Source organism: Homo sapiens, chromosome 6 (genome assembly GCF_000001405.40).
Source record: "Homo sapiens chromosome 6, GRCh38.p14 Primary Assembly".
Lineage (NCBI taxonomy): Eukaryota > Metazoa > Chordata > Mammalia > Primates > Hominidae > Homo > Homo sapiens.
The window spans coordinates 2,124,042-2,151,583 of NC_000006.12; the positions used below are offsets into that span (position 1 = coordinate 2,124,042).

The 27,542-nt window shown below is 39.8% G+C and overlaps 1 protein-coding gene across 11 annotated transcripts in view; it reads right to left on the bottom strand.

Annotated features, from left to right (window-relative positions):
- GMDS (GDP-mannose 4,6-dehydratase) overlaps positions 1–27,542 on the bottom strand; it is a 621,800-nt gene that overhangs the window by 500,236 nt on the left and 94,022 nt on the right. For all 11 annotated transcript variants that reach the window (XR_007059239.1, NM_001500.4, XM_011514500.2 and 8 more), the window contains exon 2: positions 646–690. Coding sequence is in view for 10 of the 11 variants with exons in the window: in NM_001500.4 (NP_001491.1) it covers positions 646–690 (45 nt within the window). In the remaining variant the exon portion in view is untranslated. The remainder of the gene's footprint in view (positions 1–645; positions 691–27,542) is intronic.

Here is a 27,542-nt window from a genome sequence, read left to right on the forward strand (position 1 = left end):
TTTTTTTTTTTTCTGTATAGCATGAATTTATATACATGTATATATCTGAAAAACGTTCTTTAAAAAATTAAGTTGTACATACTTAGCACATCAAAATTAATATATAAAACTATTGTTTCTTTTAAGGAAAGGAGAAATGGTGAAGACAACGACAAAAGCAGCAAACCTAAAAGTTTCAGCTCCATAAAATATATGGTTGCCTATTAGAAAGGAAAACCTCCAGGTATAAATTTTTCATTCAAGTTTGCCAACAATCAGCTTGGTTTTTATTGTTCTCTGTAATTTCTGAATTAAGTGACTTCATGGTGAGTAGGACTTTCTTATGAAACACATTACATCATAAATTAACCCGAATCATGTTACAGCTTCGCTTGCACAGGCTGCTGCGTTATCGGAGAATGTGGGAAGTGTGCACCACAGCTGAACACTGTGAGTGCAGGGGAGCCACCAGTGCTCACCAGCAGATAAACAGCACAATGGGTTGGCAGGCTCACAAGCCCAAAGACACATTCTTCCCCGGATTCTGATTTGTTATCTGCGTTTCAGTGGAAAACACACTCAGGAGGACGGCAGCAGAGGAAGCATGTGGCCGCTGCATGCGAGCAACCCCACCAGCCTGCGCCCGCTTCCCATTGAGTCACCCACCTCATAGCCTTTCTCCAGCAGGAACTCAGCCAGGTAGGAACCATCCTGGGGAGAAAGAAAAAATTGCAAAACGTCAGTCTCATAGTGGTATAGAAAGGTGGTCTAGATGAAGAGTTTTGAGAAAAGCATTTAAAAGGCTACCTAACTTAAGGACAATGGCAACCTAAAATAAAAATAACACCAATAATGTCAATAAATACCACATGGTGTTCCACTATACACAAAGCATTTTCACAAACAGTATTCATTTGAGCTCCACAGAAGACAGAGGATGAAAATGAAATCCAGGAAAGTGATATGCATCAACAGACAGCATGAAGTTCCAGAATCAGATGGATTTGGGTTTAGGTTTTGCCACTTACCAGTTGTGTGAAACATGCAGAATATGGGGGCAGAATGCCTTGGTGTCATAGCAACATAAAGCAGAAATCTTAGTAATTCTGGGGGGTCATTAAACAAGATCACTGGGGGTCAGGCACAGTTGCTCACACCTATAATCCTGGTACTTTGGGAGGTCAAGGCAGGAGGATTACTTGCATCCAAGAGTTGGAGAATAGCCTGAGCAACACAGTGAGACCTTAGCACTGTTAAAACAAAACAAAACAAAACAAAACAAAAAATTGGTGGAGATGGGGTCTCACTATGTTGCCCAGGCTGGTGTCAAACTCCTGGACACAAGTGATCTTCCCACCGTGGCCTCCCAAACTGTTGTATTACAGGTGTGAGCCACCATGCCCAGCCCAAAACATCTTTAAAAATTAGCCAGTCTTGGTGGCTCGTGCCTATGGTACCAGCTACTTGGGAAGCTGAGGTGGGAGGATCACTTGAACCTGGGAGTTCGAGGCTGGAGTAAGCCATGATTGCAAAACTGCACTCCAGCCTGGGTGGCAGAGGGAGACATTGTCTCCAGAGGGAAAGAAAAAAAAAATCACTGGGGAAGGGGATAAGATGGGAACTAGGTGGGTTGGGGATATAGAAGGGCTAGTGTGGAGAGGAAAAGACTCCATGGTAGAATAAAGAAGGCCAGGGGGATGTGGAGGAAGGTGAGTACCTTTGGAGGGCTGGCCTTTCCAGGCAATGGCCACAGCTGGCTGCTAACCCTAAAGGTTCTGGAAAATCACTGAAGGCTTGAAAAGGTTTTAAGGTGGCAGGGAGCAGGGATGGGGATCAGATTTGTATTATTATGCACACATACAAATGAACTTTTAAAAAAAGAAGATATTCTCTTTTTTTATAAAATCGTATTTCCTTTGTATTAATCTTAAATCATATAGCTAATTCCTGCCTTAAAATGAAGGTGTCTGACAAAATACAGAGATTCTCAACTGGTTCTTAATAATTATTTTTAAAATTTCTGGGTAGGGGTCTTCATTTGACCTAAAATATTTCATGTGCCACTTTTAGAGGGAAAGTATGAGAGACATATAATTAAACTATTTAATAGGTCAAAAGTTCAAAAATCACCATTCTGTAGGTGCTATAAAAAGTCACCAGCCTCTCTCAGAAAATAAATTGGTTAGACATTTTGCAGTCGATCCCATAACTGCTCCTCTGCTTTCTGCCCAACTAGAGGGTCCCCATCCATCTCATTCAGACGAAAAGATAAAAATGGGAAGCTCCAACCACTGGAAATTCGTGTCCTCAGAAGTGGTTGGGGACGTTTGGGTTTTCTTCGGTTTCTTCAATTTGAACAGGCTTTAAATATCCCTTAGAGCTTCAAAAGCTCCTACCAGATATTCCAGGGGGAAAAAAAAACAAAAAACCTTTTTCTTATTACTTGACCAAAAGCTGGAATTGGAAACACCCTATGGGTCCTGAAAATGAAAGGACTGCCAAGTGTGTGTTTACTACATTAATGCAGAAGTCATGCATAAATTCAGGCAGAATGACAAGGCAAAGCATACAAGGGACACATTCTGTGGTTCATTAAAACCTAGAGCAGATTTTCTTCTTCTTCTTCTTTTTTAAGATGGAGTCTCGCTCTTTCACCCAGGCCGGAGTGCAGTGCTGTTATCGTGGCTCACTGCAACCTCTGCCTCCGGGTTCAAGCGATTCTCGTGCCTCAGCCTCCCAAATAGCTGGGATTACAGGTGCGTGCCACCACCCCTAGCTAATATTCATATTTTTAGTAGAGACGGGTTTTCACCATGTTGGCCAGGCTGATCTGGAACTCTAGACCTCACGTGATCTGCCTGCCTGGGCCTCCCAAAGGCTGAGATTCAGGCGTTAGCCACCATGCCAGGGCTAAAATCTCCAGCAGATTTTCTTCTGACTTCTTGAGGTAAATATTCTAGTTTATAGATTCATGTGCAGAAGAGAAAATGTTTGGCATATTCTTTTTTAATCCCATTCTTACAATTCTTACCGTTTTTACATATCTAAAATATATGTCAGATAATGACACTGACCATTATCTAAGTTAGATAATGACACTGACCAATTCAGACCATGACAAGCCAAGTCGGGCTACACAACCACTGAAAATGTTATTATAGGATAATCAATATCCCTATAAATCAATCAATGAGAAAACAGCTTAATAGAAAAATATTTGCAATAAGACTAATAATTTGGCAGTAGGTTGGAAAGCCCTGTAAAGTATGAAGTTTGGACTTTGTTTTGCTATTATTGTTTTGAAGCAGGCAACACTATACTTCTAATCATTCTCTTGGAATAAAAAGTTTGAATGCTTTGTGTTCTACCATAGCTACATTAAATGTTTAAAAAAAAAAAAGCCAGAGGTAAACGTGCTAGAGATCCCTGAGGTGGCAAGAGCTGTGATTATTTAGAGAGCTGATGTGAAACAGACCTGACCAGGACTGAACCCTGTCAATAAGGTCTTGTTCTTCTCACCCAGGCTGCTTCTCAGACTTTCCAACCACACTGGAACATTCTGAACCAGTAGTGGCACCGGCTTCCTCCTCACTTCCTTGCCAGGCCTCTCGAGTGATAGGGCCTGGGCCGCACAATGAGTGGGAAACGAGCCGAGCGAGGGCTCCTGGTCCCCAGCCCAGGGGGCCCAGCTGGCCGCCCCCTCGTCCTTTCCCCAGGCCCCTGGGGGACTCCAGGAGAGACGTGGTATCTGAGCAGGCAGACGTCCGCCAAGCCAACAGGATGGTGGTTTCCGCCTCCTCTTGAAGCACAGAGCTGATAAAGAATGCTCCAATCAGACTAATGACTGAAATGTCACAGCAAATGAGAACCTACAACCACCATTAAGTTCTGACGCTTGACTCCTCTGAAACAAGGAACAAACAGACTAAATCTGTAACTCATTCAGTATGAACACAATTATTCTGGTATAAAGTCCTGCCTAGGTTCAATCCTTGTTACAGAAAACTCTTTAGTTGTAAAGATAATGTCCCAATATGACCCTTTTAAGTTTAATTTTACACGTGGGCTATTAAGGGTATCTATTTTATATTAAATGCCATACTATTTTGAGCAATCACCATGGCTTTAACATTTTCAAGACACAGAAATATTTTCCTTTTTTTTTTTTTTTGAGACAGAATTTCACTCTTGTTGCCCAGGCTGGAGTGCGATAGTGCAATCTCGGCTCACTGCAACCTCCATCTCACAGGTTCCAGTGATTCTCCTGCCTGAGCCTCCTGAGTAACTCAGATTACAGGTGCCCACCACCACACCCAGCTAATTTTTTGTATTTTTAGTAGAGACAGGTTTCACCATGTTGGCCAGGCTGTTCTCAAACCCCTGACCTCAGGTGATCCACCTGCCTCAGCCTCTCAAAGTGCTGGGATTATAGGTGTGAGCCACCCATCCTACTCTCGCAAGAACTAAGCTAGGAAGGTGGGCAGATATTTGGCATCTCGGGTAACTGAGGCACAGGGGGGTTAGCCAACTTTTCTAATATCACACTAGTTACAGACAAAGCCAGGACTAGAATCCTAGCCACCCACTGTTTTGAAGTAGAAAATAATCTCCTTCCTCCCACTCCTCTACCTGGCACCAAAACATGTCAAAACCCAACAAAATAATAAGAGACCATAAAAGATACATTTTCAAACCAAGTTGATGTAGTCATTTTCCATTACAGGGTATTTTATGGATGAAACAGTGCTTCCAGTTCTAATCAAGTGACCCAAATGCAGAGAAGTCATGTAATTTTAGAACACTCCAGAGCTCAGAGGAGGGAGAAAGGATACAGCACCTGAGATTTTCCCGGTCTGGGTTTTTGGGGGACTGGCACTGCCCATGCAGTTGTTCAGTGTTGTTTGGAGGTGGATTTAGATTGCTGGTGGTTGTAGGTCCAGCTTTGGGGCCAAAGGGCAGGGCACCAGGGTCCCATGGGGCCAGGTTTCAGTGTTCCTGACGCCTATCCTGTTCTTCCGAGGGGATGGACCCTCACTTTTCATGAAGTACTCAGAAATGTTCCAGACAGAGTTATGTAAAAATTAAAGACCAATTCCAGAAATTCACAGAATCATGTTTTGACTACAGTATGACAACTACCTAAAATTCCACAACTATGAAAAGCTGAAAGAAACACAGAAAGTTTCTGTGTTTCTCAATGACCACAGATGGCTAAAAAAAAGACTGATCTCACATCCACACATCCCCCACACACACCCCATCCCAACACCTATGTACGAGGGCAAGCCATCCTCCCGCAACACAGGAAGACTAGCATTTTTCTCCTCTCTTCCAATACAGATGAATAAGTAGCCCAGACAGACAAACGAAAAGGGAACTTTCTTACATGCAATGTGAGAACCTGGCCCCTCTGAACTGCATGCTAAATCATACTGTATGTTTCTACTTAAGCACCCTGTGGCGGCTTCTTTGAACAGGATACGGTCATGGTACTGGGCTAAAGAAACCACACCACTAATAAAACGAATCTCTTTGTTTAGATCATCTCAGGCATCAGGAAATAGAATAACCCCTTCTGCAAGAAGAGAAAGCACTCGTTTGCACTGCCTTTTTATGTTCTTTAACTCCATGTTGTCTAATTACTCCTAAGGCATCTTCCCAGCTAATCGGAATTACAATATCAAGGTAATCTGTGCCTCCAATAAGCAAAACACAAACACTTCAATGATTAACAAATGATGCTGTTTTGAATGAGAATGAAAACTTCCAATGATTTAACCACTGCTGTGAAGAATACGGAGACAGAATATAATAGAAAGGTGTTTATACCTAGGTCATGTTTGTAACACAAATCATTGGACAAAATCTCTGTCAGACTCACAAAATTCAAAAGACCATGGGGATTAATTAATCCAACCCTCTCATTTTACAGATCAGGAAATGGAGATTCAAAGCAGGTAAATGTTTATTGTACAGTCACAGTTAGGAAGTAGCAGAACCTGCAACCAAAAAATAAAAATGAAAACCAGGTCTCTGGACTCCCAGACCTCAGAATTTTGCACTAAAAAATACCGGGGAAATATCTAAAATGAAGAGGCTGGACTAATGACTACAATTGAGAACCCGGTAAAACAGACAAATGGAATTACCAAAGTGAAGAACAAAAATAGAGCCAATAATTATCAATAGAGCAATAATTAACTAATTAGTAGAAAGGAAATGAGGATACCATCAATATTTAAAACACAGAAATAACTCCCATCTCCTATAGTCTTCAAAGGTGAAAAATATTTCCCCATAAAAGCTGCTGTCACCAAAGAACCAACTTTCCCTTCCTTTGATTTACCTCCTGATACAGAGAAGCACTGCAATCCAGCAACATGATCAATAACCTCTGAATAATGAAGAATCGTTTATGTCCAGCAGCTAAGATACTCTTTACATAGCCACCCCTTCCCTCCTTTCAAGGGCAATAGCCTCGCAAACAGGTGCTCAGTGGTTGCACATACACCTCAAACCTATCAAGAAAAGAGAGCCGCTCTGTGGCCAGACACAATACCTTCTAGTATTGGGTGATGAGTGTAAGGCTAACCAAGTATCAGCATTTCAGAAAGAGGCCAGAGGCTTTCAATCATCCTTGATATTGGTCTACCATGGCACAGAATTCTCTCCCCCAAAACACACTCAGTTTCAGTACATTGCAATGTTATGTTATGTCCATGATTAGTTTGATAAGAAAAAAAAGATTTACATATAAAAAATATCAAACAGGGAAGAAATGCCCTAAAAGATTAATTTAAAAAAAAATACTTTCCCCAATGTGATAGGTTTTTAAAAAATGGTACAGACGTGTTTTTTCATTTTTTGACTGGTAGTAACACTACAGAGTTTTTGGTGTTTGTGGCCTTAATTTTTTTTTCAGGGAATTATATATACACTTTACCTATTTTTCTAGTAGGCTGTGTTTTACCAATTGGTTTGTTCTTGGAAGTATCAAGAACATGTACAAAATTGACTAATTTTCACCTCCAATAAAAGCCACTCAAAAACTGATATTTTGAAGCAGGCTAGCAAATCTTCAGTCTCTTTTATATTGCAAATGATTATTGTAAACCCTTAGTATAATATTAGAGCAAGGAAGAACGCAAATACAATGTGAACTCAGGAATTCACATCTTTGCACAACCCAACATGTGTAATAATACTACTTTCAACATACTAAAATAATTTTCTATAATTTAGGCAAACTCTATAAGAAAAATGAGACTAAAGGGTTTAAAACAAGCAGGTACAAAGGAAGCAACTGTTGGTAAGGTATAGAAAGATTAATTTTTAATTAAATGATTAGGAGAAAAACAGCACACACACACACAGATACTCCAATAAATACAGTCCCAGAAATGCTGGAGAAGCCTCAAAGGGACAACCAGTCCCCAACTTACGATGGATCCACCTACAATTCTTCAACTCTATGATGGTATGAAAACGGTACACATTCAGTACACTCCTCAACTTACAATGGAGTCCAAGATAAACCCATAATACATTGAAGATACTGTAAATCAAAAATGTACTTTTGATATTTTCAACATACGAAGGATTTATAGGGACAGACCCCCACTGTAAGTTAAAGAACATCTGTAAATCCAAAGGCATCTATTAACAGCCTACGTGTGTGCTAGGTGGTACATAATATATAGATACAGCAAGGGTGAGTCCACCTGCTCATCACTACGTGAATACAAGCATGCCCAAGGCATACAGTATCTCACTGGTTTTCCTTTTTTTTTTTTTTCTTAACGTAAGCTCCTTTTATTTGAACCTCTATTTTCCTCTCCCTCCCTCCATCCCATTCTTGCCACTCATACTGAAGTTTTCATCCATCAGAGAAAAAAAAATCTTCATATGGCCTACTATCACTACAAATGATGACAGCAGTACTAAGAAGGATAGTGAGCACTTGTACAGCACTTGGTATATGCCCAGTATGCACTAAGTGCTCTGCATTCAGTATCTTTTTAACTCTTCATAATAACCCCATGTCATTGGTACTGTTTTCATCTCGATTTTACAGATGAGGAATCTGAGGTGAATTGAGAGGTAATAGCTCAGGGTCTAATAGTTAGTAGGTAGAACAAGGATTTAAACTATGTCTACTTGTAATACATTATTTATATGGCAATTTGCTTCACTAATAGGATCGATCCCTCTATAATGGATCCTATTAGAATGGAAAATGATGGGCCTAGAGATATTTTCACATAAAATATGGCTTCTATAGAATGTATTAATAATGACTATCAAACACCCATTTGGACCATAGGTGTTATGGGATGGAGGAGGACAGGAAGGAAATAAGAAATTTAGTCCCTGCCCTATTGCTCTGAGAAGTATCTGGGAAGCCAGGCATTTCCTGGTCTAGATAGGATTATGTTTCAACATTGGCTAGGACCTCCAGATTTCACACACATCCACCCACATGTGGACAGCATGAGAATAATAACCAGGTAACCTGTACAGCTAATCAAAATGTTCTTGCTATCAGAGAACACCAGTAGATGCATGAGTCATGGACAGAAGGTGGCAAGGCTTTGTGGATGAAAGAAAAGCTATGAAATACTACCACACTGACCTCTTCTATACTGGATGGCACAGTGCCCTGGAAAAATAAATCACCACACGAGCATGAAATCAGGATTGGGAAAATACACAGGAAATACAAGAAGAATATCCCTATCAGATCCTTTTAAAGATCTGCCTAACCGGACAGTTCAGTGCTGATGTGAGTAACTCCTTTCAAGTTTACAATATACTAGCTGAAAGTTTTTAGAACCAGGGTTCCAAATACATTAATAAAGATTTGTACAGGTGTGTAGGGAAGTTAATAATAAATTAACAGTGAACTTCACACTGAAATAATAACTTCTTTGCAGTAAATAGCTACACATATTAAAAAATTAAAACTGATGAAAAATAAAATTAGAGTTCCTCTCTCCTCCCTTTCTCACTATCTCTCAAAGTGACAGGCCATACAATTAAAGGCTGTTTCTTTGCAAAGTCCATGCTTTGCAGTTCTAATCACTCGAGTGATTTATAGAGGAAATGATGTTTTGCAGGTACTCTAAAACAGAGCTGCACTTTGTCCAGTGTGCAAGGCCATGCTTAATGAAAAACTTTAAATTTGGAAGGAAAAAAACTGCAGTAAAAAGAGAAGAATTATGAAATTTTAGTATTTACTTGATTTATTAATGTTTCCTTGTGCATTTCTTTTTATAATTTGTGTCCTGGCTAAGGCAGGAAGGCAAAACAAATGTCCTTTTGTTTATGGCTTTAAAAAGGTCATAAGAATAACAAAAGGATACATAAATACTGATGACTATATCTTTCCCTATTTCACTGTACATTAATTTAACAGTCTGCTACTGAAATACTGCTGTTGGTTAAGCACAGAGTTAACTATTTAAAAATATTCTTGTCTTTTTAACCCAATTTCTTTCAAGGATATAATTAATCCAGTTAAGACCGTTCTTAAAATATGTGCAGGTCATGATAGAAATGTCACTTGTCAACTCTCTGATGCATTTCAGATCTGCTCTGCCACTATAGAGTTCCAGACAGACAGGAAACATTGTAAATCACTGAAGAAACATACAAGTTAAGAACTGTGATTTTGTTACTTAAAATTACTGAAAAATAGACAAAATTCAAGCATATATCAGGAGCGTAAATGTAGAAATCTGTAAGCATTTACCCAGAAAGGTGCAGATCATTAAACTAATAAAGCTAACTCATATTCAGTGCCCAAGGATATATCAAATTTTGTAAAAACAACTTTAAGTCACCGGAGGCAAGGAGAGCTCCAAGTTAGCACAAAGAATGTTGATTTCACCGGGGTGTGGTGACTGGGGATAGGCACACCTGGCAAAACTCCATTCTGTGGGCTACTAAATCTCTGTATTTGTTAGGTTGTGCTATATTGTGTATTTCGGTTCTGCCACCCAAAGAAGGTATCCAAAATAACTTGTGGTGGGCGTGGAGGAATCACATATTAAAAGTCCCAAAGTCTGTGCCTCCTTCATGCTTGTGCAGCTGTCTTCCAGTGTCACTGCCTTGTAGACTGCACAATCATGGTGTGATTCTAGATAGCTCAGCTCCACCACAGAAATAAAGGGGATAAAATGAACAGTTGGCGAGATACTGAGACTGCAGTTTGAACCTCTATAGGACTAATGCTTTTAGGTTGTTCTTTATTTTGTTGCTTTGCTTTCTTTTGCCAACAGCAGCGGGGGCTTAGCTCTTATTCAACCATATACTTTTTAAAATCTCTACTCAGTGGTACTGATAGAAAACATTTTCAAGATTCCACTGAAAAAGACCAGAGCTTTGTAAGGGTAGTGGAGTTCTCTAGGTGGAAAAATAACTTCCTCGCCTAATAGGGATTGGACACCACCACCCACATCTTGGTCTCAATAGCACCAAACTTTAAATTGCCAATCTAGCCAGGCCCTTATGCTAAGGCCGAAGTGAGTCTTACCTTCAGTGTAGAAGCTGAAAAGCAGGTAGGTGTCTCTGATTCAGTCTAGCCTGACCACATGCACTTTTTGGTCTAATCTTAAAATACTTAAATGTCTAACAACTACTTCTGTTTCCCAGCTATTCTCTCCTAATATTTATGATATATCTTGGCTATTTGACAGTAGATTTGAGTCATATAGTTAAGTCATATAGTTAAGTCAACTATTTGAGTCATATAGTTAAGCTATCAACTTTCTATAGACATAGTTTGCCTTATACTATAACATACATTCTTCAACCTTACACTATACAGCAAAGTATTTATTATTGTTTCTATCAAAATAATATCTTACATTCCTGTAATTTCTTATAGTTGCTAAGTACTCTTTAGATGTTTTTTCCCATTTATATCTCACAACATCCTGGTGAGGTAGCTGATATTATCCTCATTTTTCCGGATCAGAAAATTGAAGAAAGCATAAATCCCTTGTTCAAGGTCATAGAGCTAGTTAGAGAACTTGGCAGAATATGAAACCAATTTGTTTAATTCTAATTACAGTGTTATGTCCACAATACCTCTCCCTCAATCAAAATAAAAACGTTTCAACCAAAATAAGATGCCACAGCAGTTTTTTAAAGAAATTAATAAATTTATATAAAAACCCATATACAGTTTAGCACAAAATAATATTTCAAATTTAAGTATCTTCAATTATCCTTGCAATAATCCACTATCAAAAGCCATTGCTTAAACTAATCCCCCCTTTAAGTATACTAAACAACGTGCTACTGTGTGTATTTGTGTATCCGTGAGTGAGTGTGTGCATGCTTGCCTGAGCTCATTTAAAGGGATACCTTTATCCTGAGGTTTAAAAACAGTGAGGTCTGAATTTTCATTGTTAAAAGCAGATCATGGAGCAATCAATCAGCTAATAACCATCTATTAATATCTGATGTACTATGCAACATGACAGAGTAAATGAAAATAAGAATAAGATGCATTTCCTACATTTGAGTTTCTATAATCTAGCGAGAGGACAAGGAAACAACACATCTACCACATCATCATCATCATCATCATCATCATCATCATATTAGCAATGACATTAATGCCGACATTCATTCACTACATACTTCTCACATTTTAGGCCAGCACTGGCCAACAGAAATATAATGTGAGCCACATATGTAATTTTTAATTTTCCAGTAGCCAAATTAAAAAAGGTAAAAAGAAACAGATAAAGATGAATTTTATTTAACACATATATCTAGAATGTTTTATGCACATGTTAATAAAAAATTATCCAGATATTTTACATACTTTTTCATATTAAAGTCTCCAAAATCCAACGCAGTCAATGAATTACATAACAACGGGGAAACATTCTGAGAAATGTACCATTGCATGAACATTACAGTATACTTGCACAAACCTAGGTAGTAGAGCCAACTACATACCTAGGATATATGATATAGTCTTATGGTGCCTAGGTTGCAACCTGTACAGCATGTTACTGTACTGAATACTGTAGGCAACTGTCGCACTATTGTAAGTATTTGTGTATCTACACAGAAAAGGTACAGTGAAAATATGGTATCTTATGGGACTACCATTGTGTATGGTCCCTTGCTGACCCACATGTCATTATGCAGCACATGACTATATTTTACACTTATGGCATATCACAATTCAAATGTAAATTTTCATCAGAAATACTTGATCTGTTTTAGATTTCATAAAACTGATCATTGAAAAAGTAAATTCATGTACCCAACCTGTACCAAATATACTTAAAAGTTTTCTCATAACGAAATTGAGTATCCAAAAAATCATTTTCCTTTAATTTTCACAAGTACATTGACAAAACTGGTTCACTTTTGTTTAAAAGAACTGATTTGGGCCAGGCGTGGTGGCTCCTTCCTATAATTCCAGCACTTTGGGAAGCCAAACCAAAGCCAAAGTATGGCTTGAGGCCAAGAGCTCAAGGCCTCCCTGGGCAACATAGTGAGACCCCATCTCTACAAAAGATTTTTAAAATAATATTTTTTTAATTAGCTGGGTGTGTCCCAGCTGCTCAGGAGGCTGACACAGGAAGATTGCTTGTAGTCCAGAAGGTCAAGGCTGCAGTGTGCCATGATCACACCACTGCACTCAACCTGGGTGACAGAATGAGACCATGTACCAAAAAAAACAAAGAAAATGTTTGTTATTTTAAAGTAAACTGGGCATGGTGAGGCAGGCCTGTAGTCCTAGCTACTTGGAAAGCTGGGACAGGAGAATTGCCTGAGCCCAAGAGTTCAAGACTGCAGTGAACTATGACCAGGCCACTACATTCTAGCCTGGGTGACAGAGTGAGACTTCATTTCAAACAAAAAAAAAAAAAAAAAAGAAAGAAAAACTGATTTGACTTTGAAGTATAAGCATATCAGTTTCAAATCCATATCGGTTCAAGTTAAGTAAGCTAATTAACTCTTGTGTCAAGTCAGTATTAACACTGGATTCAAAGGAATATTTGCATAAATTGGAAAACAACTCTAAATTTATCAGTATCAACAAAGAGCTCTTCAAATTCTAGTTTTTGTAGCCAATATATATAATGGTATTTATAATTAAAATCTTCTGCACATTAATCATTACTATTGACTTATATTATGAAAACCTTCAATTTCAACATGAATTCTAATATCTGCCTAGCTAGTTGACAAATTACCTTGTCCTTTCCTGAGACTTTCAAATTAGTTCATTCAAAAGTAGTGTGATCTGAGTCAGAAAACATAAACCATACTGCTATATTCCCTTTTTTTTTTTTTTTTTTGGATGGAGTTTTGCTCTTGTTGCCCAGGCTGGAGTGCAATGGCACGATCTTGGCTCACTGCAACCTCTGCCTCCCCGGTTCAAGTGATTCTCCTGCCTCAGCCTCCCGAGTAGCTGGGATTACAGGCATGCGTCACCATACCCGGCTAATTTTGTATTTTTTAGTAGAGACAGGGTTTCTCCATGTTGGTCAGGCTGGTCTCAAACTCCCGACCTCAGGTGATCCACCCACTTTGGCTTCCCAAAGTGCTGGGATTGCAGGTGTGAGCCACCGCGCCCGGCCCATATTCCCTTTTTAAGTACTGAATACTTGGGCAAGTGCCCCTTTTTGTTTCAACAAAAGATCATCTTTGGTTGGAGTAAATATTATGCTATAGAAATCTGTGTAAAACTCGTCCAGGACTCCACCAACAAGTGCTGCTAAAGATCACAAGGTCACTGCCTTCACTGTCTTCCATTTCTTTCTGCAGGTCCATAAACCAGCAATGATCTATGAATTTACACTTATAGACTGGATAATTTTAACTACTAGTATGTGTCACACTTTTTGCCAAGTTAACTACTGTATTGTACTCTGTCCAGCTTCAGAATACAGTCGAATGAAGCAATAAGAGAAATACCAGCCTCTTGAAAAATTCCAATAAATACAGAATTCGGTCTAAGAGAGCTGGGTCAACTGTAATAGAAATTAATTTTTTCATATCCATCTGAAATTCTTTGAAACAGTCAAATGTTTGAATTGAATGTTCTTAAAACATTCAAAAATATCTCTGCCACAAATCTGTTATTTTTGGCAAAAAAAATTACAACATTTATTTATAAATCTTAAAGTCTGTATTAATCGGACAATGGATCATCATACTGTATAACTTACACAAAGCTAAAGGAAAGTAATTGAAATGTTTCAAATTTCAAATGGGTCATGTAGTCTATAGGCAACTGTTTAGTGAAAAATATCTTTAAGTTTTTGTGAAATATATTTTTGTCTCTTCTCATAATTTTCTAATAAAATTTTGGTACCTGCAATAATTCCTTCTGCCATCTCTCCATCTTAAACTGGCTTCCTCTATAGTGCATGAATCCAAGACACTGTATAGGTGGCCAAAGTTACAGGCTCATACTCTGTTAAAATTTTTAAACTTAATGAACATTTGATATAGTTTAGATTTCTGTCCCTCCAAATCTCATGTTGAAATGTGATCCTCAATGTTGAAGGTGCGGTCTAGTGGGAGGTGTTTGAGACAGGGGGACAGATCCCTCATGAATGAGTGTTACTGCCATGCTAACATCTGCAGAACTGAGAGCCAAATAAGCCTCTTTTCTTTATAAGTTACACGGTCTCAGGTATTCCTTTACAGTAATGCAAAACGGACTAATAAAACACTAAATTCTGCTTTCAGGCAATTACTTCCATCAATTCTTCATTGACCTTTGAGAAAAAACTTCTCATCAAATCTACCACAGATTTCTTGAAAATGTCTTAATATTGCCCATTTCATTTTCTTTACATTTTTTATACAATTGCAAATGAGATTCATCATGAAGTCCCTAGTCTCTTTGTGTTCCCACTGCTTTGATCATACTACTAATTTCTGTATCTGTACTCACTCCGCAACAGTAGTATGCCTTCACTTCAAATTTAAAAACTGTCCATATTTATTTACTAACAAGTGATGTAGTTACCTTAATTTTATATATCACTTAAACATTTCTGGGGGATGAGGGATAAAAATCTACATGTCAGGTACCATGTACACTACTTGGGTGACAGGTACACTGAAATCTCAGATTTTACCACCATACAATTCACCCACGTAACCAAGAACTTCTTGTACCCCAAAAGCTATTGAAATAAAAAATTTAAAACAAACATTTCAATTTAATTACTAATGATAATGTACTTGCATCACTATAAGCTGCACTGTCTGCACAAAATATTTAATAAATACTATAAAGTGAGAACACAGAAAAAGTATATACTGAATAAATTATTTGACACCAGCAAGATTGGTAGTGTGTTTATGTATGCTAATGTAGTCTTACCAAAACAAGAAAACTGTGTTTAACAGAAATATATCGTGCACTGCTTCCATCTTAAAAATCCAGTTCCTCGGGTACGCTAGTCACACTGAACTGCTCGACAGACACATGTGGCTTATAGCTATTGTTCCTGATCATACGATGAGAGGCTGTGTTCATGGCAGTCTGTATTTATTAATTGTGGTAATTCTCACAAGGAAGAGAAGTCTTTACTCTAATTATCCCCACATTACAGACAATGGAATTTAGGCAAAAGTAATTAAGTGACTTACCCAAAGTCACAAAGCTATTAACTGGGGAACTGGGATTTCAACCCAGACAGTCTGACTCCAGAGACTCTTATCCACTATTCCACACCGCCAGAAGTTCAACAACAGCACAGGGTTTCATGAGAGATGAGGCAAGAGATGCAGAGTGTGTTAAAAATATATATATAAACCAAACTACTTTGCAATGAAAAGAAGGAAGCCAGAACTCACAGGAAGACGTCGTGAAAGAGGGAGAAAGACTTGAGCTGCGTAGTCCAAGATAAATGCTGCAGATAAACAGCCCAGGCAGCTGAGCGCAGGAGGAGTAGGTGTGCGAAGCGCGAGCAAAGTGTGTTTAGCCATGAACAGGTAAAGTGAGTCAGCTGTGGAGTTAATGCAGCAGGCTAAAAAATGGCCCCCAAAAGACACAGCCACATCCTCACCACTGAAATCTGTGACTGATACCTCATATTAGAAAATCATCTTTGCAGATGTGATGAAGTTAAGGACCTTGCGTTGGGGAGACTGGAGATTATCGTGGATTATCTGGGTGAACTCTGAGCATAATCGCGAGAGTCCTTATAAGAAACAGGCAGTGGGAGATTTCACCCAGTCAGAAGACGAGGCCACGAGACCACAGAAGCAGAGATTAGGGCCATGTGCCCCAAGTCAAGGGATTCCAGCAGCCACTAGAAGTTAGAAGAAGAAAGCAAGGAATTCTCCTCTTGAAGCCTCCAAAGGGAACATGGCCTTTCTGACATACACCTTGATTTTGGACATCCAGAACTGTGAGAAGACAGCTGTGTTGTTTAGGCCACTCAGTCTGTTTCAAAAGCCATAGGAAACTAATACAGCTTAGAACCTCTCAAAACCTGCAACATGCAAAGCGACCTTGTGAATCAGCAAGAGGTCAATCTAGCAAGCAGTCGTTCCCAGTCTATTTAATGAGAGAATACCCATTTCCCAGAAAGAGAGAGCTGGTGGTGAAAGCATGCACCTTTTAGCATCTGGCATACCTAACATTCCTCTAACAAAGTTTGGGAATTCCTAACCCAAGTCACATTCTGGAAGGCAATTTAATCAAGTAAGTCTGAACTTTATTCAAACAATGCAAAAACGATCGAAGGTTTTTAAGAAATGTTGCAAGAAGTCAACCATTTGGGGTGAGGAAATCCAGGACCCTGTGACCCTGGATTCAGGGTAGCTTCAAAGTAGCAGAATGCATTGCTTTGGAAGATAAAACATGTCAGCAGCTGAGCCAGCCCTCCCAGCTGACAGCAGTGAACTCTGCCCTGATGGAACCACCTCCTCTGGGAAGTGCTCCTGTCATGAGGGATGCTGACAAACTAAAGTGGCTTCACAGTGTGACGAGTGAGAAATGACATAAAAGAATGAAAGAAGTGTTGTGCTAGAGAGCAATATTCAAATGGGAAACAAAATAGCAGTACCTTCAAGTAAACGAAAGGCTAAAATATATTGTTAATAACAAAAAATGAGCTACAAACGGTTCAATAAAAGTCAAAGGTGAAACCATCAAGGGGAGTGGGATCAGGTCAACAGGAAGCTGCCCATGGGCATCTGCAGTAAGAAGCACCTGGCCAGTATGGATCTTCCTGTGGAGACAAGTTATCAGGCTGCCACAGGAGAAGAAAACCCACACTGCATAGGAAGCTGGACCTCAAAACTGACCAGCTTCCACAAGTCTAAGATTTCATGACCTAAACTGGACACAGGCCTGTTTATCATACGCACATGTAGAGCTGGAATAAAAACTGAATTTCAAAAATATTGTGTGAAACTAGGGGTGAAATTCAAAATATTGAATAACCTGCGTAGCACAGGCACTGACCCACCAGAACGTATCCCAGCTTATGTGCCTACAGGTAGGTGCCCACCTCCTGAATTTCAGCCTTCATAAAACCGTGAACGCTGACGGAGAGTTGGAAACAGATTCTGAACAGGCAGGGATGAAGAGGGGAGGGGAAGAAACTACTGCCGTTTAAAAACTTCACTTGAACTGACAGCAGGTCCCCCATTTTGGGAAGCCACAGGATGTCAAGGAAAGGTGACCAGGTAGGCTGGAAGCCACATTCTAAATACAGCATCTCTGACCACAAACGGCCGGCAGCCACACACTGTGGCCCTGCCATCTCCAAGGCCACTGACTCAGCACGGCTGCGACCTAACGACACACTGGGAAGTCTGGGTTTGGTTTTGGTTGTGCGTGCTCTCTCTCTCTCTCTCTCTCTCTCTTCTCTTTCTTCTCCCCCACAACACTCCTCCTCCCACCTACACTCCCCCTTCTCTCCGACCCCGCTCCTATAGCATACATTTTGGTTCCACTGGTTGCCGGCTTATCCATTTGGCGGTAACTGTCTGGTAGGTTAATGCCCAACAATAGGCACTTGTATTTTCTTATACGGGGGAGGTAAATTATGGCACTTGAACAAAGACCTTACTATTTAAGTTTTACTGCACGTTTACTACAAGCCAGTTTCAATTTTACGTTTTTGTCCCTAGGCCATAAGAGAAAAAAGAGCAGGTTCCTGTTCATATTCGAAGGAGCTGTTTAAATAACAATAACAACAATACCTGGCAAAAGCGGGATCTGTTATAGGTCGAATTCTGTCCCCCTGAAAATGTATATGCTGAAGCCCTAACCTCCAGGACCTGGGAATGGGATGTTAGTTGGAGATACGGTTGGTGCAGATGTAATTAGTTAAGATTAGGTCATACTAAAGTAGGTGGCCCCTAATCCAATATGAGTGGTGTCCTTATTTAAAAAAAAAGAAAGAAAAGAAAATCTGGACACAGGCAACACCCAGCAAGAATGTCACAGGATGATGAAGTGGAATGGTGTTTCTACAAGCCAAGGAACACCAAATATTGCCAGAAAACCACCAGCGGCAAGGTAAGGGGCCTGGAACAGATCCTTCCCTCACAGCCCTCAGAAGGAACCAACCCTGACAACACCTTGATCATGGACTTCCAGCCTCCAGAGCTATGAGACAATAAGTTTCAGTTGCTTGAACCACCCAGTCTGTGGTACTTTGTTATGGCAGCCCTAGTGGACTAACACAAGACCAAAAGAATCAGGAGAGTGGCAACTGAAAGGTCAGGCAAGGTGGCCGGGCAAGTTTGGAGGAAAGAGTTTCCACTCTTTGCACCTCTAGTTAACTGTCAGGAAGCCCCCAGACTCGCCTGCCTGTCACACTGGCTTTCTCTGGGGTCCATCATCCATCGCTCCTGAGCTTGGCATAAGCTGCTGGTCCTTCCTCAACTCTTCCAGCTGCCCCTGTCCCTCACACACTCATTCAGTGGAACTCACAATTCTAAATGCCGATTCAACCACCACTTTCTCAGAAATGCATCCTGATCCCTCCAGCCTGCATCAGACCCCACTGTTTCCCACTGGTCTGTAGGGTCTACAAGGACAGGACCATGACTGCATTGCTCAACATGATGTTGCTGGTTGGCTGGAATACATATTTGCTCCATAAATTAAAATTCATTGTCCTTGGGTTACTAATCTCACAGGTCCTATGGCTCCAGCAGACACGCCAATGCCCTGATGATGTCTACAACTTTTATAGCAAACCTGTATCACCAGCTTGGCCTCTTTGTCTTAAAACATGAGATACCCCTGGGCTCTGGTCTCCCACATTGTCAATTGAGGGGCACTACTGACCCTTTCTCTGCAGAGCCACACGGGCTCTCCTTTCCCCTACAGAACTTCTCAGACTTAACCACTGCCATCCACTCCCATCCCCATCATCTGGGCAGTGTCCATGGTCTTCCTGCCCCAGCATCCAGGTGGGAGCACCCACACACCAGGATAAACTGACTGTGCTACTCTTTACTTAAAAATCAGCTTGATTTCCATTGCCTATTCTAAAGTAATTTTTTTTAAAAGCAGAAATCAAATCTATGCAAGGGATTACCACAGAACTGTCTGGTTTCTGGGTGGGGAAGCTGTGAATGGCTGTGGGAGAGGCAAGGCGCCTCCCAAGCAGTGGCCTCCCACTACCCTTTGTGTCACACTCCCACCCCACCTCTTAGCAAATCTTGAGGCATTCCAGGTAACTCAGGGCTCCTCACAACAGTGTAGAAATCACAGGTCCCTCTGGTTAAATCCAGCCTTTTTAGTAAAGGAATCAAGGCTCTTCATTTAACTATCACCTCCATTGTCAAAAGCATAACCAAATAAAAACAAACATCTTCACGTGAACATTCCATATCTTGGCTCCAATTCTTCCCTCCCATATTCATTCATTCATTCATTCATCAGAAATCTGCTGTTTTAGGAAGTGGTCCAAGGTTACAGAGATGCCTTGCCTTCAAAAAACAGCAATGCAGTAAATAAGACAGTTGTGTCCATTGACATATGTAAAAACAGTAATAATAAAAATAACAGGCAATATTTACCACAGGCAGCACTGGAAGTATTCTATGTGCATTAGCCTTCTGAACAACCCTTTAGGGAGGGTCCCATAATTATCCCAATTTTAAGGATGAGGAAATAAAGAGTCTTGAGGAGGTCAGGTCAGGTCACCAGCTAGAAAGAGGGCAAAGGAAGATTACAAACCATACGTTCTATGCTATTTTAGGTGATCCCAGTCAGGTGTGGTCACAAGAGGCCACACAGTAGAGGCTCAGGAATCAGCTGATTGTCCTCAGTGATCCTAGAGACAGGAGGCCCGCCATGCAGGCCACACTGGAACGCCTCAGGCTGGTGAGAGGCAGAGTGGGCAGGAGGAGGAGAGAACTAGGCCACAGTCTTTAATGGACTTCCAGGAAAAACAAGGCGGGGCAGGGTGAACAGGTTAGGAGTGGCTAAGTTGAATAATTTCAGCAGGCTTTGGGCTACAGAGGTGGTCTCTAGTTGCCTGGCACCTAGCCTTGAATGATGTAAGCAAGGGAATACTGCTTCCTGAAGTGTAAGGGCCAGATAGAGGAGGTCTGGGTATGGACTAGTTGGTTTGTATCTCAAAGGCATGCTCCTGGCTAGGCCCTGGCTCCCTCTCAGAACTGGCTAGACCTGCAAGGGCAGCCTCTTCCCAACCACAATGGTTTCTAAGATGTCAAAACATCATAATATATAGAAAATAAAAACCGTAAATAATACACCAGACTACCTGACTTCAAGCCTTCAGCAACTGTGCCTGCTACATCCCCAGCATAGTGACTGCACAAAGTAAGGCCAGGTAGGAGACACAATGAAGGCCTCTGGAAGGTGAGAAAAAGATCCACAAAGGCAGCACTCAAAGCACATCAACAATAAAGGAAACATAGAAGCTTCCACGAGGATAAGAATAAAAGAAGGACTTTCCAAGCAAAGGGACTGGGCAATAAAAAGGCAACCTGGCCAGTCCAGTTGGCTGCTGTGCCTTGATGTCTCTGGGGCCAGGGTCCTGGGACAGCACTAAAGATGAGGATGGAGACGCAGGCCTGGGCAAGAATCCCTAATTTTCAATTAGGTGTATGATAACAGGTAGTATGAATAGATTTCAAGGGTTTATTAAGCACTAAGTATAGTGTAAGCTCACATATAACAGAAACATTTAGTACCCAAAACACCAAACGTATCTAAGAAGCCTTAAATATCAAATTTTTAGACCGGGCACGGTGGCTCATGCCTGTAATCCCAGCACTTTGGGAGGCTGAGGCAGGTGGATTACCTGAGGTCAGGAGTTCGAGACCATCCTGGCCAACAGGGTGAAACCCCATCTCTACTAAAAAAAATATAAAAATTAGCCGGGCGTGGTGGTGGATGCCTGTAATCCCAGCTACTCGGGAAGCTGAGGCAGGAGAATTGCTTGAACCCAGGAGATGGAGGTTGCAGTGAGCTGGCACGGTGCCACTATACTCCAACCTGGGCGACAGAGTGAGACTCTGTCTCAAAATAAATAAATAAATAAATAAATAAATAAAATAAAGAGACAACCCAATGGAAACACAGATGGCCCGCTGCATCCACGGATTAAACCAACGTCAGATGGAAAATATTCAGAAAACAAACAATAAAAAAACAGCAATGCCACATTTAAAAATATAGTATAACAACTATTTATACAGTGTTTACACTGTATTATATAAGTAATCTAGAGATGATTTAAAGTATACGGAGGACTGCAGTCCCAGCTACTTAGGAGGCTGAGACAAGAGGATGCCTTGGGCCCAGAGTTCAGGACCAGCCTGGCTACATAGCGACATCTATCTCAAAAATAAAGTATACAGGAGGATGTACGTAAGTTATATGCAAATACCACACCATCTCATATACGGGACTAAGCACCCATGAGGGTTCCTGGAACCAATCGCTCATGCATACTGAGAGACAACTATGCTGGCAAGTGCATGGGCAGGTATGTCATAGAAGACAAAACATAAGTCACCAGTAATCACATGAAAGATCCTGAGTTTTCATTAGCAATCATGGAAATGCAAGTTAAAACCACAGCGAAATAACGTTTCACACCTAGCAGATTAGCCAAAGTTTGATAAACTACCAAAATCAATTATTAATGAAGATATGTTAGGAAGACATGTTCTTGTGCACTGTTGGTAGGACTGTAAATTGGTAAAACCACTTTACAAGATCAACAGTCATTTATTTTCCAATGTTGAAGTTGCTCATACCGCAAGATGTAGGATATACCTTGAAGACATATGAAGGTGGTTAAGTTCCTAAATAAGGGTAGTGATATGAACACATAAAGGATGGGCAAAGTCAACAGTTACAGGGCAAGAGGAAGGAAGACAGTCGAGTTAACTGAAGAATGGTAAAAATGGGTGGGCTGGTTTGGTGGGAAAAGATTATACTTCGTTTTGGGCATTTTGAGTCTCCGGCATTAACAAAATACTCACAGACAGGAATTATGTTATATTACATGATCTCTAATGACTCTTGTAGCCCTAAAGCTTTGTGATCTTATGATACTATCAGAAAGGGCCAAATTCCACGGCTCACTCAAGTATTTTGCTATAATTAACTTCTTTTGTACTCTGTATTCTTGCACACTCAAACAAGCTTTTTAACAACACGCCCCTCTCAAAATGTCTTTATAGTAGGGATGTTTGATTTTTTTCTTGGTTCTTCAGCTAGACAATCAGTTCCTGAAGGGGTATGAAAGTGTTGATCTTCTTTCCTCAGAGTGCCTTCTACTACAATACACAAAGTAATTTTTCCCCCTAAATGGAACAAAGGAAGAGTTAACTGTTAAGTACAATCTAACAGCAAAGTCTTCCTAAAGATAAATTTTCAGCCAGCCTTTTGGAGATGGAAAGGAACTTACTTAGCAGAGAAGAGGAAAGTGATATTATTCTTGGTAGAAAGAACGGTGCATCCCAAGGGTATGAAGACTGGAAAGAGGATATTGCTGATAGATCTGGTACACCATTAACTGGCACTGCAGGACCAAAGGTGAAGGAAAATAGGAGTCCTATTTGACTTATACTTACCCAGTTGATTCTTAAACTCAAGATGTTTATTTTCTTTTACTATTGTAGAGTCAAAGGCAGTATACTGGGATGAAGAGAAAAACAGTACTATTCAGAAAGCTGTTTGGTTTTGATGAAACCTTAAAAAAGTTACCGGTTGGCCAAAATGCAAGAGCGATGGTCTGAAACAAATCATGAAGATAATCAAAATGGTAACCATTTAAACCTCTGACACAGCAGACTCTGCCAAGAGTAGAAAACCAATACTAGCTTGCCCCCACTCACATACACGTTTAGCGTCCCTAATTTCAGCAGTACGTGACATTGGTTGCTAGCCCAGAAGAGATGCATAAGACTCTGAACCTAAAGTTTCCAGTGATTTGGTCCAAAAGGATATTTTGATAAAATTCCAAATGGGGAAGGAAAGACCTAGACATCGGACTCCTATAATTTTGAAACCTTAGCATTAATTATCTCCAGTCTGGCGTTAAGACATTGGAAACCTCTGCATCATTCCCAGATCATCACTCTAGAGTCCCCTACATTTATCAATTTATCCCTCCCCTCTCCACATACATGCCACCACCATCCATCAAGTGAGAAGAGCAACAAGCTTGTATTTCTCACAGGGATTCATTTCTTAATGAGATGCTTACAAAGCAGATCATGCTACAAAACACAGACCTTTTTCTTTAAGAGACTCAAAAAAATGTAAAGATGTATCCAAGCCTAGTACATGCTTTAAATTTAGAGCAAGTCCCCTGAGCATACTAGATAATTCCACAACGTAGAAACTAAAAGTAGTTGCATTTTATGCATAATGACACAGATGTGTTGCTGACAAGTTGTCTTAACAAAATATTTATATATTGACTCACATTTGAAATACGTTAGGAGTAGAATCTTGGGTAAAAGCCTCTAAAAAGGTTGTTGTATATTAGACATTCTCAAAGTGCGGCACCCATACCATAGAATTAAACTCCCTGTTTCAGTCCTGTGTTTTGAAACACATTTTTACTATTCCTGGAAACACTTTCACATTTTTGTCAGACGTTGAGTGAGCAACAGGGTAAATAACTTTTCAAAAGCATTTTTAGAGTAGTAAAACCTTAAGTTCCTTGCTAGAAGGGCTGATCCAAAATAAATTAAATGCTGGTATGACTAAGCCAAGTGTGGCAAATTCTGATTTGCAGTGTGGACACCTCCAGTTAATAGATCTATTCAGTGATTCAACATGCACCTCCAAGTCGTAAGCCGGGCAGCAAAGTATAAATATGAGACTTACAAGCATTCTCTGATCTCTGAGTTTGTATTCACATCTATCAAGTTTTTGTTTGTTTGTTTGTTTTTGTTTTTTTTGAGATGGAGTTTACCTCTTGTCGCCCAGGCTGGAGTGCAATGGTGTGATCTCTGCTCACTGAAACCTTCACGTCCTGGGTTCAAGCTATTCTCCTGCCTCAGCCTCTCAAGTAGCTGGGATTACAGGCATGCACCACCACGCCTGGCTAATTTTGTATTATTAGTAGAGCAGGTGTTTCACCATGTTGGCCAGGCTGGTCTCCAACTCCTGACCTCAGGTGATCCGCCCGCCTTGGCCTCCCAAAGTGCTGGGATTACAGGCATGAACCACCACGTCCGGCCTGAAGTTAGTCTTGATGGAAGGTTCTCAAAGACCTATTATTACATCCTGTGTATTATATCAGCTTTGTCAAAGAGGTGAAGTTTAGGAAGCTGTGTTTCATAAAAACCCCAAATCTGAGTAAGTCTATGGGAGCACCATTCACGGACATGCAGCAATACGGTAGAACACGTGAGAAACTGCTCATCTGGACTGCACTGTAACACAAGCACCCTACCCTAGAGGTACAACATGCAGGTACCGCTGATACAGCAGGCTTCCACAGCATGGTTACGAATCATCACATCAGACATGGAGAGCACCTGAGGGATCACCTAATATAACTGCTTCACCAATGAGGAAAGCAAGACCTTGATGACATAAAATACGGAAAAGAATAAAAATAGACGCACATAACATTTCTTCTGCTTGCTCAAAGTTATCCCCGACAATTTAAGATGATTAAGGGCTTTATCTTGGAATGCTTAGCTCACAGAAAAAAAAGGTAGGCAACTATATATTCTTATTAATTGGAAAAATCATTGAACAGCCAGTGGTTTGATTTGAAGAGAGCATCAGTTTTGTTGATTTCATTAAAATGAATGTAAAGAGAACAAGGTGTATTGACTTTTTATTTTTTTAGCCACACCACCAGCAAATACTGCATCACTTACATGTGTGTTTCCTTCTGTCTGGAAATCCTGGGTGGACAATTTAACTGCCACAGAACTCCCATGAACAGGCACACACAATAAACACGCACATAAGGATTATGTGAGGCGTCTACCACAGAATGGCTTTTTCAGCCACCTGAACCTAGGTCCATTAAAAGAAACTAGGCAGCGTGGAGCAGAGCAGCTGTCCCAACACAGGCAGTAATGGAGCTGACAATATTCCCACGCCAGTTCTGAATCCAGTCTATTTTATGCTCTTGCGTGGATTCAAGGAAACAGAACTACTATTTAAAAGTGCATTTACAAAGAGGGCTTTAAAAAGCGTTAGAATAAATTACTTTGAAGTGTATTTCTACAACACGCCTCCAGCTTTCCCTTCTTTTCCTATTTGCTCGTCCCCAGAACCCAACGGTGACTATATTTAACTGACTTTACAAGCTGTGGGGAGACTGAGTACACACAGCAGATTCCAGCCAGGATTGTGTGCATTAACTAAGTCCCAAGGTTTTTTGCTTGGGAGCTTTCTCTTTCTTTTTTTCATCTTCTTCACATGTCTTAAAATTACCTTATATCCTGGAAATAACAGAAAAATTTTAAAAGACCCTCTATTTTGGTTTGCTGTATAGGTTGAGTCCTGATATTTTTAATCATATTAACAATATGCTCAAGGCAAACACTGCCACGACCCAGTATTCTTACAGTTTGTAAGTATTTTATTATTTCCTTGAAAAAACACTCATTCCATCTAGTACGTATTGTGAGAGAAGATCAAGTACTTGTAAAATAATTTTCATTTAGGAACAGGTATATACAGATTAACGGTATTTGGAACTGACTAGAATGACAATGAAATCACCAACTTCTGATCAAGGTGAAATAAATTAATGATTTCACTAAGGCCAGATGCAGTGGTTCATGACTCTAATCCTGGCATTTTGGGAGGCTGAGGTGGGACCATTTGAGCCCAGGAGTTCAAGAAAAGCCTGGGCTACACAGTGAGACTCCTTTCTATTTTAAAAAAATAAAAATTTTTAAACATAAAAATAAAATTTCACTAAGTGGAATGCCTCTGGCTATAAAGTCTACCTCTCCCACTAACACGAAACTATCTCCATGGAATTCTAGGGATGTGGATTCCAGTATCAGATTAGCTTTACCATTTATAACAATGTCCTGTGGGAAAACCACTAACTTCTTTTGGCTTCAGTTTTCTCATCTATAAAATTAGGGCTTCACACCCTAAAGTAATCTCTAAAATTATTTCCACCTATAAGAAGCAATTATTTCAGATTAAGAATCCACAACAATCTTAAACTAAAGAATATTTAAAAGATGGGGTGTTTCTGCAAACTTTGAAGATTTTGGCCATAAACTGAGTTCTAATTACTCAGTAAATTTAAAAGTGCTTAGGCTGACTACCACTTCTGTTATCAACACTTCTATCTTTAATTATATGATACCTAATACAAGCTATCTCTATTCCACAAAAATTTATACAGACCACAGTCAAAGTTCACAGCTTCTAGCTAATTTGAATATTTGGAAATTATGAATGAAATATGATTAGACTGCTTTTACACTGGCAAATTTCCCTTAGAAATGCCTGAACTATTAGCGATATCCCTAGATTTAACGAGACAAACTACTTTCATGTATTTGTCTATAAGGTAATATTAGCTTAAAATATTTAATTTTATGGGTACAAAAAATAGTTAGAAAGAATAAGACCTAGTATTTGCTAGCACAACAGGGAGACAATCATCAAAAATAATATAATTATACATTTTAAAATTAAAGAGTATAATTGGGTTGTTTGTAACACAAAGGATAAATGTTTGAGATGATGGACATTCCATTTACCCTGATGTGATTATTACACATTGCATACCTGTATCAAAATATCTCATGTAACCCATAAATCACTTAATATGTACCCACAAAAATTAAAAATCAAAAACTTAAAACAATTTTTTTATTTTATTTTCATTGAAGATCCCCAAAAGCAAATATAACTTGTAAAAATAATTATCTCATGTAAATATGAATTGGAGTGAATTCTGAGTAAATAAAATTTACAATACATGAGCAATATAGCCATTTGCTAGCTATGTAATCTGGTACAAGTAAGCTATATGTCTTTGTGACTGTAATGCCAGGAAGGTAAATTCTTGTAATCAGTTTCTGAGATAATGTATAAAAGCTCTTAGTGTAAC